At 48.9% G+C, this 13,936-nt stretch overlaps 1 protein-coding gene across 6 annotated transcripts in view; it reads left to right on the forward strand.

Moving 5' to 3' along the window:
- SLC2A11 (solute carrier family 2 member 11) overlaps positions 1–13,936 on the forward strand; it is a 29,379-nt gene that overhangs the window by 5,327 nt on the left and 10,116 nt on the right. For 5 of the 6 annotated variants that reach the window (NR_104248.2, NM_030807.5, NM_001024938.4 and 2 more), the window contains 2 exons: positions 6,221–6,381; positions 12,857–12,981. Coding sequence is in view for 4 of the 6 variants with exons in the window: in NM_030807.5 (NP_110434.3) it covers positions 6,221–6,381; positions 12,857–12,981 (286 nt within the window). In the remaining 2 variants the exon portion in view is untranslated. The remainder of the gene's footprint in view (positions 1–6,220; positions 6,382–12,856; positions 12,982–13,936) is intronic. The other variant, NR_104247.2, reaches the window with a different exon arrangement.

A 13,936-nucleotide genomic window follows, 5' to 3' on the forward strand; every position in this document is an offset into this window, starting at 1 on the left:
GCCCACTGAGGGGCTTCAGCCAGGCATCCACTAGGTGGCACTTTCTGCCACAAGTTTGTCTCCATTGGGTTGGCCCACAGGTTCCTGCAGGTTCAAACTGAGCATACATCTTCCCCAAACCTGCATGTCCTCCTGAGTCCCTAATCTCAGCAGATGACTCCATCTTCCACCTAGTGATGGGGGGTCAGCCTTGACTCTTCTCTTCATCTCTTGGACACTAAGTCCTTCCTAACTACCTCTGGAATCCAGCCACTTCTCCCCATGTTTCCACCACATTCCCAGTTCTGGCCCAGCCTCCTCACTGGCCTCCTTGCCTTCAGCCTCTCCCCACCTTGATCTCTTCAAGTCACTCCCCTGCTCAGAAATTTTTTTTTTTTTTCGAGATGGAGTTTCGCTCTTGTTGCCCAGGCTGGAGTGCAATGGCATGATCTTGGCTCACCACAACCTCCGCCTACCAGGTTCAAGCGATTCTCCTGCCTCAGCCTCCCGAGTAGCTGGGATTGCAGGCATGTGCCACCATGCCCAGCTAATTTTGTATTTTTAGTAGAGACGGGGTTTCTCCCTGTTGGTCAGGCTGGTCTCAAACTCCCAACCTCATGTGATCCGCCTGCCTCAGCCTCCCAAAGTACTGGGATTATAGGCATGAGACACCGTGCCCGGTCTCATCAATGTTATTTATAAAGTAGCCAGTGGAGATTAAGTTTCCGTGTTCAGCGGTGAAGCCTTGAGCTATCACGGCCTCAGCTTCATGGAAAAAGGAAGAAGAAATTTTAAAAAGCAAGCAGGGCAGGCAGACCTGACCAAATGAACCCCTCGGTTTCACTGTCTCACACCTTCGCTCCCCCAACCCTGATACCAAAGCAAGTTAAGTATAGTTCCTCAAATACCTATGACACAGCCCTTCCTCTAAGCCTCCTTCCACGGAGGGGCCCTCTCTCTTCCACCTGTAGAAGCCCACCCCAGATACCACCACCTTCTTGAAACCTTTTTGCCTCTCCAGCCCTTGGTGCAGGCTGTCCTCTCTTAGGCTGTGTGAGGGCTGTTTTGTGTCCATCTCCTCTCTCCTGCTGGTTTGCTCTCAGCATCTGAGTCATCTTTGAATCTCTGGCCCTTGATGGTAGCCTGGCCCGAGCCAATGTTCTGTGAGTGTCTGTGGAAAGGATAGGTCTTTCAGCCCCAGTGATAGAAGCCCACCTCTAACTTGCTTAAGTAAGAAGGGCAAGTACCTAATCATGTAACTGGGAATGATGGGATGTGGGGCTTCACACAGCACTGAGGGAGAGCTGCAGGAACCAGGCCCCAGGACAGAACTGTGGCTGTCCTGCCCCTGTTTTTTCTCTCTCTCTGGTTTTTTTTTTTTTTTTTTTTTTTTTTGGGACAGAGTCTTGCTCTCTCACCCAGGCTGGAGTGCAGTGGTGCAATTTCGGTTCACTGCAACCTCCGCCCCGTCCCGAGCTCAGGCGCTCAAGCGATCCTCCTACCTCAGCCTCCCAAATAATTGGGACCACAGGCATGTACAACAAAGCCCAGCTATTTTATTTGTATTTTTTAGTAGAGATGGGGTCTCATCATGTTGCCCAGGCTGGTCTCAAACTCCTGAGCTGAAGTGGTCCGCCCACCTCGGCCTCTTGAAGTTCTAGGATTACAGGCATGAGCCACCGTGCCCAGCTTGGCCTTGTTTTCATACCCAGATGGGGAGCTGCTGTCACCAGATTCACTTCCTGCCAGCTGAGAACTCACCCCACCAACAAAAGTCTTCCAGGTTAGCTCATGTAGAAAGGCAGGGAAGAGCCTGAGGGGCTGGTTTGGATTACATGTCCACTCCCAGACCAGTAATGTGGTCAGGAGGCTGGGATGCTCAGATTGGCCAGATCTGGGCCAGGTGATCACCTTTATGGGGAACCAAGGGCTGTAGTTGACCATCGAGAGAACTTCCTCCAAAGTAATATTTGCTAGCAGAAGATAGAGGTGGGGATAGAAAGAATGATAGCAGCCCAGCCTCTTAAAGAAAGGATGAGAGTTTAGAAAGGGAGATCTGAGCTGGCTGCGTTGGTTTATTTTTTATTTATTTATTTTCTGAGACAGAGTTTTGCTCTTGTTGCCCAAGCTGGAGTGCGATGGCGTGATCTTGGCTCACTGCAACCTCCACCTCCTGGGTTCAAGCGATTCTGCCTCAGCCTCCCGAGTAGCTGGGATTACAGGCGCCCACCACCACGCCTGGCTAATTTTTTGTATTTGTAGTAGAAATGGGGTTTCACCATGTTAGCCAGGCTGGTCTCAAACTCCTGACCTCAGGCGATCCGCCTGCCTTGGACTCCCAAAGTGCTGGGATTACAGGGGTGATGCATTGGTTTATTTATTCATTAATTCATCAAGCATTTGAGCACCCACTTCAGTGCACACTCAGACTAGAGAGGGGTCCATCCCAGGCCGGGCAGGGCACTCTCAGACCTTACCTCCCACAGCCATCACCAGCCCCTACGAAGGAGACTTTCCTAGGCTCAGAGGCTTCCCCTACCCTGCTGAATGGTGTTAAGTTCTAATTGTTAAAGAAAAAGTTATTCAGGCTGGGCGTGGTGGCTCATGCCTGTAATCCCAGCACTTTGAGAGGCTGAGGCAGGCGGATCATTTGAGGTCAGGAGTTTGAGACCAGCCTGGCCAACATGATTAAACCCTGTCTCCACTAAAAATAGAAATATTAGCTGGGCATGGTGGCATGTGCCGTGATCCCAGCTCCTCCAGAGGCTGAGGCAGGAAAATTGCTTGAACCCAGGAAGCGGAAGTTGCAGTGAGCTGAGATCTCGCCACTGTGCTCCAGCCTGGGCGACAGGGAGACTCCCTCTCAAAAAAAAAAAAAAAAAAACCAGAAAACAAAACTGGGCGCAGTGGCTCACGCCTGTAATCCCAGCACTTTGGGAGTCTGAGGCAGGTGGATCCCCTGAGGTCGGGAGTTCAAGACCAGCGTGACCAACATGGAGAAACCCCGTCTCTACTAAAAATACAAAATTAACCAAGCATGGTGGCGCATGCCTATAATCGCAGCTACTTGGGAGGCTGAGGCAGGAGAATTGCTTGAACCTGGGAAGCAGAGGTTGCAGTGAGCCAAGATTGCATCATTGCACTCCAGCCTGGGCAACAAGAGCAAAACTCCATCTCAAAAACAAAAACAAAAAACTATTCAATGACACTTGTCAAAGCACAGTAATGAAGACTTTATTCAAGAGGTGGCAAGCACTAGTTGTAGGGACCGTGGCAATGGGGTCCTGCCCTGAGGCAGAAAGGTTGGACTCAACTTCAAATACAGCAATGGGCAAGTGAGAACTGATAGCCAAGGAGCAGAGTGGGGTCAGCGGGTGCACAATGACTAAGAGGATCATCAGGCATTTGTGGGGGATTCTGGTTAAATTGTCCTAACAGGATTCTTGTTGAGGGCAGGCCAGGGTAACTAGACATCATGGAGGATGGCAGAGGATAAGGAGGCCGATTAGATTTTGAGAGTGATCAGATGTGGAGGATGAGGATTCTAGCTAAACCAACTTAGCACGATACTTGCTAAAATTGAACAAGGCAGAGATGAACACAGAAGTCCAAAAGTTGAGACCTAGTTGAAAAAGAGCTCAGAAGGCCGGGTGCAGTGGTCCATGCTTCTAATCCGAACACTTTGAGAGGCCGAGGTGGGAGGATTGCTTGAGCCCCGGAGTTTGAGACCAGCCTAAGCAACACAGTGAGACCCAGTATCTACAAAAAAGTAAAAAAAATGCAACAGGGCACAATGGCATGGGCCTGTAGTTGTAGGGATCTGTGAGGCTGAGGTTGGAGGATGGCTCGAGCCCAGGAGTTCGAGGCTACAGTGAGCTATGATCATGCCACTGCACTCTAGCCTGGACAACAGAGGGAGACACTATCTTTAAAAAAAAAAAAAGAAAGAAAAAAGGAAAAAAGAGCTTAGAAAACTCTGAGGAGAATCTTTGTCAATGGTCACTCTTGAGGAGTTCCACCCAATGTCAGGGGAGGCTGGCCCTGGTCCCAGCTCCTGTGGACAGTTCCTCCCCCGAGAGGCAGCTGGTGGGCACTAGGCTGACAGTCATTGCCCTGAGCTGGGCAGGGGAGAGCTGGCCCAGCACCTGAACCCGCTGCTCTCCCTTGTGTTCTGTTCTGTCAGGAGACCTGCAAATGACATTTCATCTCTAACCAAGAGAAGGGTGTCCATGTCTTCCTCATGTCTTTCCTAACCATGTGGCTTCCCTTCACTCACCTGAGGTTTGGAGTCTGGGGAGTCCAAACTACCTGGTACAACTCTGACCTGTGGCTAACGCTGTGAGCAAGTCATTTCACCTCTCCCTGAGCCTAATCCCCAGTCTTGACAGTGACCAAGGCTGGGCATGGTTGCTCATGTCTGTAATCCCGGTGCTTTGGGAGGCTGAAGCAGGAGGATTGCTTGAGGCCAGGAATTGGAGAACAGCCTGGGCAACATAGTGAGACCCTGTCTCTACAAAAAAATTTAAAAATTAGCCTGGCATGCTGGTATGTGCCTGTTAGTTTCAGCTACTCAGGAGGCTGAGGCAGGAGGGTCGCTTGAGCCCAGGAGCTGGAGGCTGCTCTGAGCTATGACCAGTGGATGGAGAGATTACTGAAATTGGAAGGAAAGAGACATAGGTCCCCTTGAGAGGATCGCAGCCAGGCTGAGGCAACCTCCCAGGGAGGGAGCCAGGGAACAGACACTCCTACTTCTCTCTCCTGCCTCCTGATGTCCTGCTGGTGCTCACCATTGGCCAAGTTGGTCAGTAAGGGAGCCTACTGATGTGGGCTGCACAGGTGGCTCCCTGGGGCAAAAGCAGGGTGGGAGGGGACTGCAGTGGATTCCTCGGGTATGGTATAATAAGAAATATAATAGATCTTTGTCCTTGGTTCCAGGCACAGAGCTCCTAAAACTCTTGGAATTTTTTTTTTTTCAGACGTAGTTTTGCTCTTGTCACTGGAGTGCAATGGTGCAATCTTGGCTCACTGCAACCTCCACCTCCCGGGTTCAAGCAATTCTTCTGCCTCAGCCTCCCAAGTAGCTGGGATTACAGGTGCCTGCCATCACACCTGGCTAATTTTTTTTTTTTTGTATTTTTAGTAGAGATGAGGTTTCACCATGTTGGCCAGGCTGGTCTTGAATTCCTGACCTGAGGTGATACGCCCATCTCGGCCTCCCAAAGTGCTGTGATTACAGGTGTGAGCCACCGTGCCTGGCCACGGAATTTCTTGAGTGATAGGAGCATCTTTTGTTATTTGCAATGAGCCCCATTTCATCATACCTGCGCTTATGGTAATGAGATGACAGGGTAGGGCCACTAGATTGCCTCAGGATGGAGCTGGTCACCAAAAAGACCAAGAGATTAGAGGGTCCGAATGTTCAGCCCCACTCACGGAGCTCTAGGAAAGGGAGAGGAGCTGAAGATTAAGGTCTATAAAAACTCTTGAATGACAAGATTTGATGAGCTTCCAGGTTCATGAACACATTGAGGTGCTGGGAAGGTGGTGCTCCTGGAGGGGACATGGAAGCCTCTAGCAACCTACTCTCCCAGGATCAGGCCCAGTGCATCTTTCCCATCTGGCTATTCATGAGTTGTATCCTTCATAACAAACCAGTAAATGTAAGTAAAGGGCCTTCCTGAGTTTCGTGAGCCATTGTTGCAAATTATCAAACCCACAGAAAGGATCCTAGGAATCCCCAATTGATGGCCAGTTGGTCAGAAGTGCAGGAGTTGCACTTGGCATCTGAAGAGGGGACAGTCTTGTGGAATGGAGCCCTTTGACTTGTGGGATTTGATGCTAACTCCAGGTGGATAGTGTCAGAATGGGATTACATTGTAGTACACCCAGCTTGTGTCCGGAGAGTTAGAGAATTGCTTGATGTGGGAAAATATCCACACATTTGCTGTCAGGAGTATTGTGTGAGTAGAGAGAAATAGTGTTTTCGCAGAGAGGGGCAAATGGAGCGAGTCCAGTGCTAGGCTCTGAGAGATATTGCCCATGAAAGAACCAGCATGGTGCCCTGCACAAGGGAGGTGCTCAGGCGAGTTGGTTCCTGCTCCAGGGGGAGCTCAGAAGACACGGTGCCTGTTGTCATTGCCTGTTCTGCAGAGGCATGGAGCCCTGTTGGGGAGAAGGCTTGTTTCATCTAGCACCCCCACGCCACCATCCCCAGAAGGCTGACTGGCATTTCTGTCCACAGCACATTCAGGAATTCACCAATGAGACATGGCAGGCGCGTACTGGAGAGCCACTGCCCGATCACCTAGTCCTGCTTATGTGGTCCCTCATCGTGTCTCTGTATCCCCTGGGAGGCCTCTTTGGAGCACTGCTTGCAGGTCCCTTGGCCATCACGCTGGGAAGGTAAGTGCTTCCTGCATACCCCCTGAATGCCCTTTAATGAGGAGCGCTGCAGCCTGCAGGCTGAGGAATGTGGAAGAAGGAAGAGGCCCGGCAAGCTCCAGGCCCAGATCAGCTCCTCATCCAGCCTCTTACTCTGCCTGGAGTTTCACCTTGCAAGACACGTCTTCAAGGGTTTGGTAGAGCAAACAGTCCTGTGCTACAAGAGAGGGAGGACTCCTGGTTTCTAATTTCATGTCTGCCAACAAGTGCTAACTGACCTTAAACAAGTTATTTTCTTCCTGGGCCTCACTCTCCTCCTGCATATCTAATGCAGTTCTTGGATTTCAAAGAATACAAACTGACTCTGATAACAGAATCAAAAATGTAATAGCTGGAAGGATAGTGGGGCAGCTCATAGCATGAAAGAAGTTCTTAGAAGCCAGGCCTGGTGAGGCATGGTGGCTCACCCACATAATCCCAGCATTTTGGGAGGCTGAGCGGGGCAGATTGCATGGGTCCAGGAGTTTGAGAACAGTCTGGGCAATATGGTGAGACCCCATCTCTACAAAAAATTAGCTAGGAATGGGCTGGGTGCAGTGGCTCATGCCCGTAATCCCAGCACTTTGAGAGGCTGAGGCGGGTGGATCACCTAAGGTCAGGAGCTTGAGACCAGCCTGACCAACATGGTGAAAACCTATCTCTACTAAACATACAAAAATTAGCAGGGCGTGGTGGCACACGCCTGTAGTCCTGGCTACTCGGGAGGCTGAGGCAGGAGAATCGCTTGACCCCGCAAGGCAGAGGTTGCAGTGAGCCAAGATCATACCACTGCACTCCAGCCTGGGCAACAGAACAAGACTCCATCTCAAAAAAAAAAAAATTAACCAGTTATGGTGGTGCATGCCTGTAGACTCAGCTACTCGGGAGGTTGCGGCAGGAAGATCACCTGAGCCCAGGAGATCGAGGCTGCAGTGAGCCTTGATTGTGCCACTGTACTCCAGCCTGGATGACACAGTGAGCCCCTGTCTCAAAACAGCTCGCTTACTAGCAATCTTAGTCTATTTTTGTTGCCATAACAAAATAACTGAGACTGGATAATGTATAAAGAACAGAAATTTACTTTCTCACAGTTCTGGAGGCTGTGAAGTCCAAGATCAAGGCACCCAGCAGATGCAGTGTACCGTGAGGGCTACTCTTTCTGCTTCCAAGATGGTGCCTTGTCCCTGTGTCCTCACATGGCAGAAAGGGCGAATGCTGTGTCCTCATATGGTGAAAGACAAAAGGGCAAAAGGCAAAAAGAGCCTGCCTAGTTCCCTCCAGCCCTTTTATAAAGCACTAGTCCCATCAATGAAGGTGGAGTTCTCATGGCCTAATCAATCTCCCAAAGGCCCACCTCTAAATACCGTTGCATTGGAAATTAAATTTCAACCTGAATTTTGGAAGAGACACAAACCTTCAAACCATAGCACCAGCACTGGATCAGCAAGACTGGATTAGACCACTGGGCTCATATCTGCACCGTGGGGAGTAGGGGAACAGTCGCAAACAAAAGTGGGGCTCTTCCCACGAAGAAGACGGAGGTAATAACTATTGCGCGGCTATCTCATGATACCTGGTACAGTTGGCATAAGCATGAAAGGAAGAAATTAAAAATTCAAGTTTAGCATGTATGCCTATTGTAATTAAAGCAAATGTCTGTTCCCCTCCCCAGGACAGGGGGATGTAGTTCTTCCATTCAGCAGCTGACTGGAGCTCTGAAATGTGTTGCCATTGTTGGGTGCTCAGGGTTGGTTGTGTAGGGGAACACAACCATCTTGGTGACAGGAAGCCCCTATTGTTCAGCCCATGTGCATTTTCTGTCCTTGCTACCCTATTTGCTTTGTTTATCACCCAACTGAGTAAGCACCGGGATGGTCAAGGAAGGCAGTTGAATGCCATCTACAGATAGAGGGTCATATTGTCCATCTGCTTATGAAGAGCCTCTTTGTAGTGGGAGGGGGCTTCTGATAAGCAGAAATATATTTATGTATATTTTCACGTTCTGGGCTAATTTTATTTTATTTTTTATTTTTTATTTTTTATTTTTTTTGAGACGGAGTTTCGCTCTTGTTGCCCAGGCTGGAGTGCAATGGCGTGATCTCGGCTCACCGCAACCTCCGCCTCCCGGGTTCCAGTGATTTTCCTGCCTCAGCCTCCCGAGTAGTTGGAATTACAGGCGCCCACCAGCACGCCTGGCTAATTTTGTATTTTTAGTAGAGATGGGGTTTCTCCATGTTGGTCAGGCTGGTCTCGAACTCCTGACCTCAGGTGATTCACCCACCTCAGCCTCCCAAAGTGCCGGGATTACAGGCGTGAGCCACCGCGCCCAGCTATATTTTCAGGTTCTGGGCTAATTTTAAAAGATTCACCCACTTAGTGTTTCCCCGTACCTCCTTGAAACCAGTCTTCAAATTCTGCTTCATCTAAGACTTTTTGTCCAACCAAATCTTTTGAAAAAGGGACAGGCCGGGTGCAGTGGCTCCTGCCTGTAATCCCAGCACTTTGGTAGACTGAGGCGGGGGGATCACCTGAGGTCAGGAGTTCAAGACCAGCCTGGCCAACATGGTGAAACCCCATCTCTACTAAAACTACAAAAATTAGACGGGCATGGTGGTGGAGACGCCTGTAATCCCAGCTACTCGGCAGGCTGAGGCAGGAGAATCACCTGAACCCAGGAGGCAGAGGTTGCAGTGAGCCAAGATTGTGCCACTGCACTCCAGCCTGGTAGACAAGAGTGAGACTCCATCTCAAAAAAAAAAAAAAAAGGAAAGGAAAAGAGGCAAAAGAAGTCCATGCTAGACCAGGAACGGTGGCTCACGCCTGTAATCCCAGCACTTTGGGAGACCGAGGCGGGCGGATCAGGAGGTCAGGAGATCGAGACCATCCTGGCTAACATGGTGAAACCCCATCTCTACTAAAAAAATACAAAATAATTAGCCGGGCATGGTGGCGGGTGCCTGTAGTCCCAGCTACTCGGCAGACTGAGGCAGGAGAATGGCGTGAACCTGGGAGGCGGAGCTTGCGGTGAGCCGAGATCATGCCACCGCACTCCAGCCTGGGTGACAGAGCAAGACTCTGTCTCAAAAAAAAAAAAGCCCATGCTAAAAAATCTGTCTATAGGATAAGTTTAAGTCCTTCATTACCTTTTGGGTCCAAGCTGATGTGAGTGACCTATTCATGGGAAACTTTGGGGTCCACATTGGGCAAGTTTGGTTTATACCACTTCTATTCAGTGATGGAGTGCTGCAGGGGACACTCAACCTTAGTAGGAGGGTGTCATACAGCACCCAGTTATGATGAGTACATGGCCCTGTGGCATCCCGCAGCCTGGTGTTTATTCCCCACTAGGGCCTAGTGACAAGGCCAGGAGCTCTTTCTCCTTAAGAGGTTAGCAGGCTGGGCATGGTGGCTCATGCTTATAATTCCAGCACTTTAGGAGGCCAAGGCAAGAGGATCTCTTGAGCCCAGGAGTTTGAGACTAGCCTGGGCAACATAGCAGAACCCCATCTCTACAAAAAAACAAAAAATAGAAAAAATTAGCTGGGCATCGTGGCACACACCTATGGTCCCAGCTACTAAAGAGTCTGAGGTGGGAGGATCACTTGAGCCTGGGAGGTCGAGGCTGCAGTGAGCTGTTATAGCACCACTGCACTCAAGCCTAGGTGACATAGTGAGACCCTATCTCTGAATATATATATATATATGTATATGGATAGTAATTTGCTGAAGGAGAGTAGCTCAACTTAAAAAGCTTTGGTTTTGCATTGTGATCCCCTTTTAGGGTATTTTAACTGCCACTTTGAGCACCACAGGCTCTCCTAAAGCTAAAGGGTTGAGTGGCAGAGCTCTTTGAACTTGGCTTGGGGCCACGATCATGTATAGTTGCTAGTACTCTGCGATGTGAATTTGGCTTCGACCCACTAGAGAATATACTTCTCTTGCTTAGCACCACTCAAAGCTACCAGGTTTTCAAGTCACCTGATAAATGTGCCAGGTCACGACACCTGATGTGGTATTCTGCTGCCTCCAAAATGGAAAGAAGCTCTCAGAGGTTTGTCCCTCCTTCTTAGAGGAAGGGGACCAAGGTGCAGCAATTTGTCATGCACTTTGGAGAAAATACGCTGCCACCTCTTAGTCCTCTAGACCTCAGGAACTTCGTTGGAGTGGCAGCCCCCTATCTCGTTATTAATCTTCTACTCTTTGTCACACTGTGCCTTACCAAGACTTCTAGTGCACTTGCTGCTTCCTCTTCTCCAGGTCCTTTCTGTGTGAACTCATCAAAATAGTGGGACAGCAGCATGTCCTGTGGGATGCACAGCTCCCTGTGGAATGGACTGTGGCCTGCAGCTGGGCAGCTGCTATATCCTTTTTATTTTTTTTGCGACGGAGTCTCGCTCTATCACCCAGGCTAGAGTGCAATGGCATGATCTCGGCTCACTGCAACCTCCGCCTCCCGGGTTCAAGAGATTCTCCTGCCTCAGCCTCCTGAGTAGCTGGGATTACAGGCACGTGCCACCACGCCCTGCTAAATTTTGTATTTTTAGTAGAGACGGGGTTTCACTATGTTGGTCAGGCTGGTCCCGAACCCCTGACCTCAGGTGATCCACCCGCCTCGGCCCCCTCAAGCTACTGATTACAGACACGTGTGTGTGTGTGTGTGTGTGTGTGTGCACGCGTGTGTGTAGCATGGTGGGGGGAGCACAGTGCAAGACCTTGAATTTATTTATTATTTATTTATTAGACGGGTTCAAGCGATTCTCCTGCCTCAGCCTCCCCACTACCTGGGATTACAGGTGCCTGCCACCATGCCTGGCTAATTTTTGTATTTTTAGTAGAGATGGGGTTTCACCATGTTGGCCAGGCTGGTCTCGAACTTCTGACCTCGTGATCCCCCCACCTCAGCCTCCAAAAATGCTGGGATTATAGGCGTGAGCTGCTGCACCCAGCTGCTGCTATATACTTAAGGCAGATCGGAGGAGGTATATGACTGTTCCAGCAAGGTGAATGCTAAGTGTTTTTGGCAATGTCTGTGTATTGAAATGGAGCAAAATGCACTCACTAGATTGAAGTACTTAATTATTATTAATGGATTTATTAATTCCAGTGAGGAAAATGTATATTATTGTAATTATAATTATTAGTTACAATTGGAGTTACCACTGGATCGAGTTTGTTATAATCTACTGTCATTTTTCATTCTCTAGACACAAGAGACCTAAGCTTTGGCTCATATTTTATCACCAATGTGCTGGTGACTTTGAGCAGAACACTGGCCACTTCTGGTCTTCAGTTTCCCTCTCAGTACAGTGAGCTATATGATCACAGTGAGCTCTCCTGGGTGATCTGTATGGCAGCACTTCTGAGCTCAATATGAGGAGCCAAAGCTAATGCTTCATCATGATGGAGCAGGTGACATTTCCAATGTCCCCTCCTTGGGTTGGTGTCTGTCCCATTGACCAAGGCATTGAGATATACAGCCATTCTGAGTTGTGAGAAGTGACTCTGTAATACATGGAGGAAAATATAAGGAAACTCTACTTGACTATCTATACGTCTCTTCCTTCACTCTTAAAGTCCCTGTTCTTCCTCCCTGGAGTTTTATTGAATCTGAGAAATTACATATTAGTACCTTCATTGTTGCTGTTGAGACAGGGTCTCACTCTGTCACCGAGGCTGGAGTGCAGTGGCGTGATCATGGCTCACTGCAGCCTCGTACTCTTGGGCTCTAGCAATCCTCCCACCTCAGCCTCCTGAGTAGCTGAAATTACAGGCGTGCGCCATCATGCATGGCTAATTTTTTTTTTTTTTTGAGATGGAATTTTGCTCTTGTTGCCCAGGCTGGAGTGCAATGGCGCAATCTTGGCTCACCACAACCTCTACCTCTCGGGTTCAAGCGACTCTCCTGCCTCAGTCTCGAGTAGCTGGGATTACAGGCATGTGCCACCATGCCTGGCTAATTTTGTATTTTTTTTAGTAGAGACAGGGTTTCTCCATGTTGGTCAAGCTGGTCTCAAACTCCTGACCTTAGGTGATCCACCCACCTCAGCATCCCAAAGTGCTGGGATTACAGGCGTGAGCCACCGCGCCCAGCCTAATTTTTTTTGTATTTTTTGTAGAGATAGGGTTTCATCATGTTGACCTGCCTGGTCTCCTGGGATCAGGTGATCTGCCCGCTTCAACCTCCCAAAGTGTTGGGATTAAAGGCATGAGCCACCATGCCCAGCCCAATTTTTACAGATATTTTAAAAATTATGTGTTACAACAGACGTGTAAGTGTAGGAGCTCTCATCTCATTTGACAGCAAGGATACCAGGACTCAAAGTAGTTAATGGCATACTACATACATTTGTGTGTGTGTCTAATTAAGGCTTGTTACAGTTGCAAAGAGTGGTCCCCAGGGATGGTCCCGCTGGACTGAATCACAGCCTCTCTTTCTGTGTGTTTCACTTCCCCCAAGGAAGAAGTCCCTCCTGGTGAATAACATCTTTGTGGTGTCAGCAGCAATCCTGTTTGGATTCAGCCGCAAAGCAGGCTCCTTTGAGATGATCATGCTGGGAAGACTGCTCGTGGGAGTCAATGCAGGTATGGGGTGGGGGCTTCTCATCCTGCCTCTCTATGCCTATTAATTAATAAATTCATTAATTCCTTTTATTTCATTTCTTCCTTCATTTCCTCCCTTTATTCATTCATTTATTTTTTATTTATGCCTACCTTTGTCACAAAAGGATGTAGTATAGTTTATCTTAAAGGGCTCATATAACTAGATATTTAAAGTAGGTACAGAACAATGGAAAAGTTGTGTAGGGGTGGGGGAATAAGCATCTCCAAACTTAACACTAATACAGGTCCCATGTTTGAGTAACACTCTAAGCCATGAGCTTCCTGGTAGCCAACGTGTAAAGGGATATAGGATGAGTTTTCTGATCTTCTCTCAGAAGCAGAATGGCCTGTTAGGTACTCCTCGATTTCTGGGGCTTTTCATGTGAGAGAGCAGAATTTTGAGCACATCCACCTGGGTTTTTAGGGGCTCCAACCAACAAGTCATCTCTTGACGCCCTACTGTTTATACAGCCCAGTGGTGATGTTATCTATATGATGCTATCTATATTAGTTATCTATTTGTGTGAAACAAATAACCCCAAAATTAAGTGACTTAAAATAATCAACATTTATAATCTCACAGTTTCTGTGGGCCAGGAACCCAGGAATGTCTTAGGTAGGTGGCTCTGGCTTGGGGTCTCTGACGGGGCTGTGCTCAAGCTGTCAGGGCTGCAGACATCAGAAGGGTTGGCTGGGGCTGGAGGATCCACTTCCAAGATGCTCCCTCACGTGCCATTGGCAGGAGGTCTCAGCTGCCCACTTTGGGGGGCTCTCCACAGAGCTGCTTGAGGATCTTCACAACATGGCAGCTGGCTTCTTCCAGAGTGATCTGAGGGGGTGAGGAGGGGAGGGAGAGAGAGGGAGACAGGGAGACAGAGAGAGGGCATGCACAAGGAGAAGTCCAGGTGCTTTTTATGTCCTAATTCCAGAGGTCATA

This window comes from Homo sapiens, chromosome 22 (assembly GCF_000001405.40).
Source record: "Homo sapiens chromosome 22, GRCh38.p14 Primary Assembly".
NCBI lineage: Eukaryota > Metazoa > Chordata > Mammalia > Primates > Hominidae > Homo > Homo sapiens.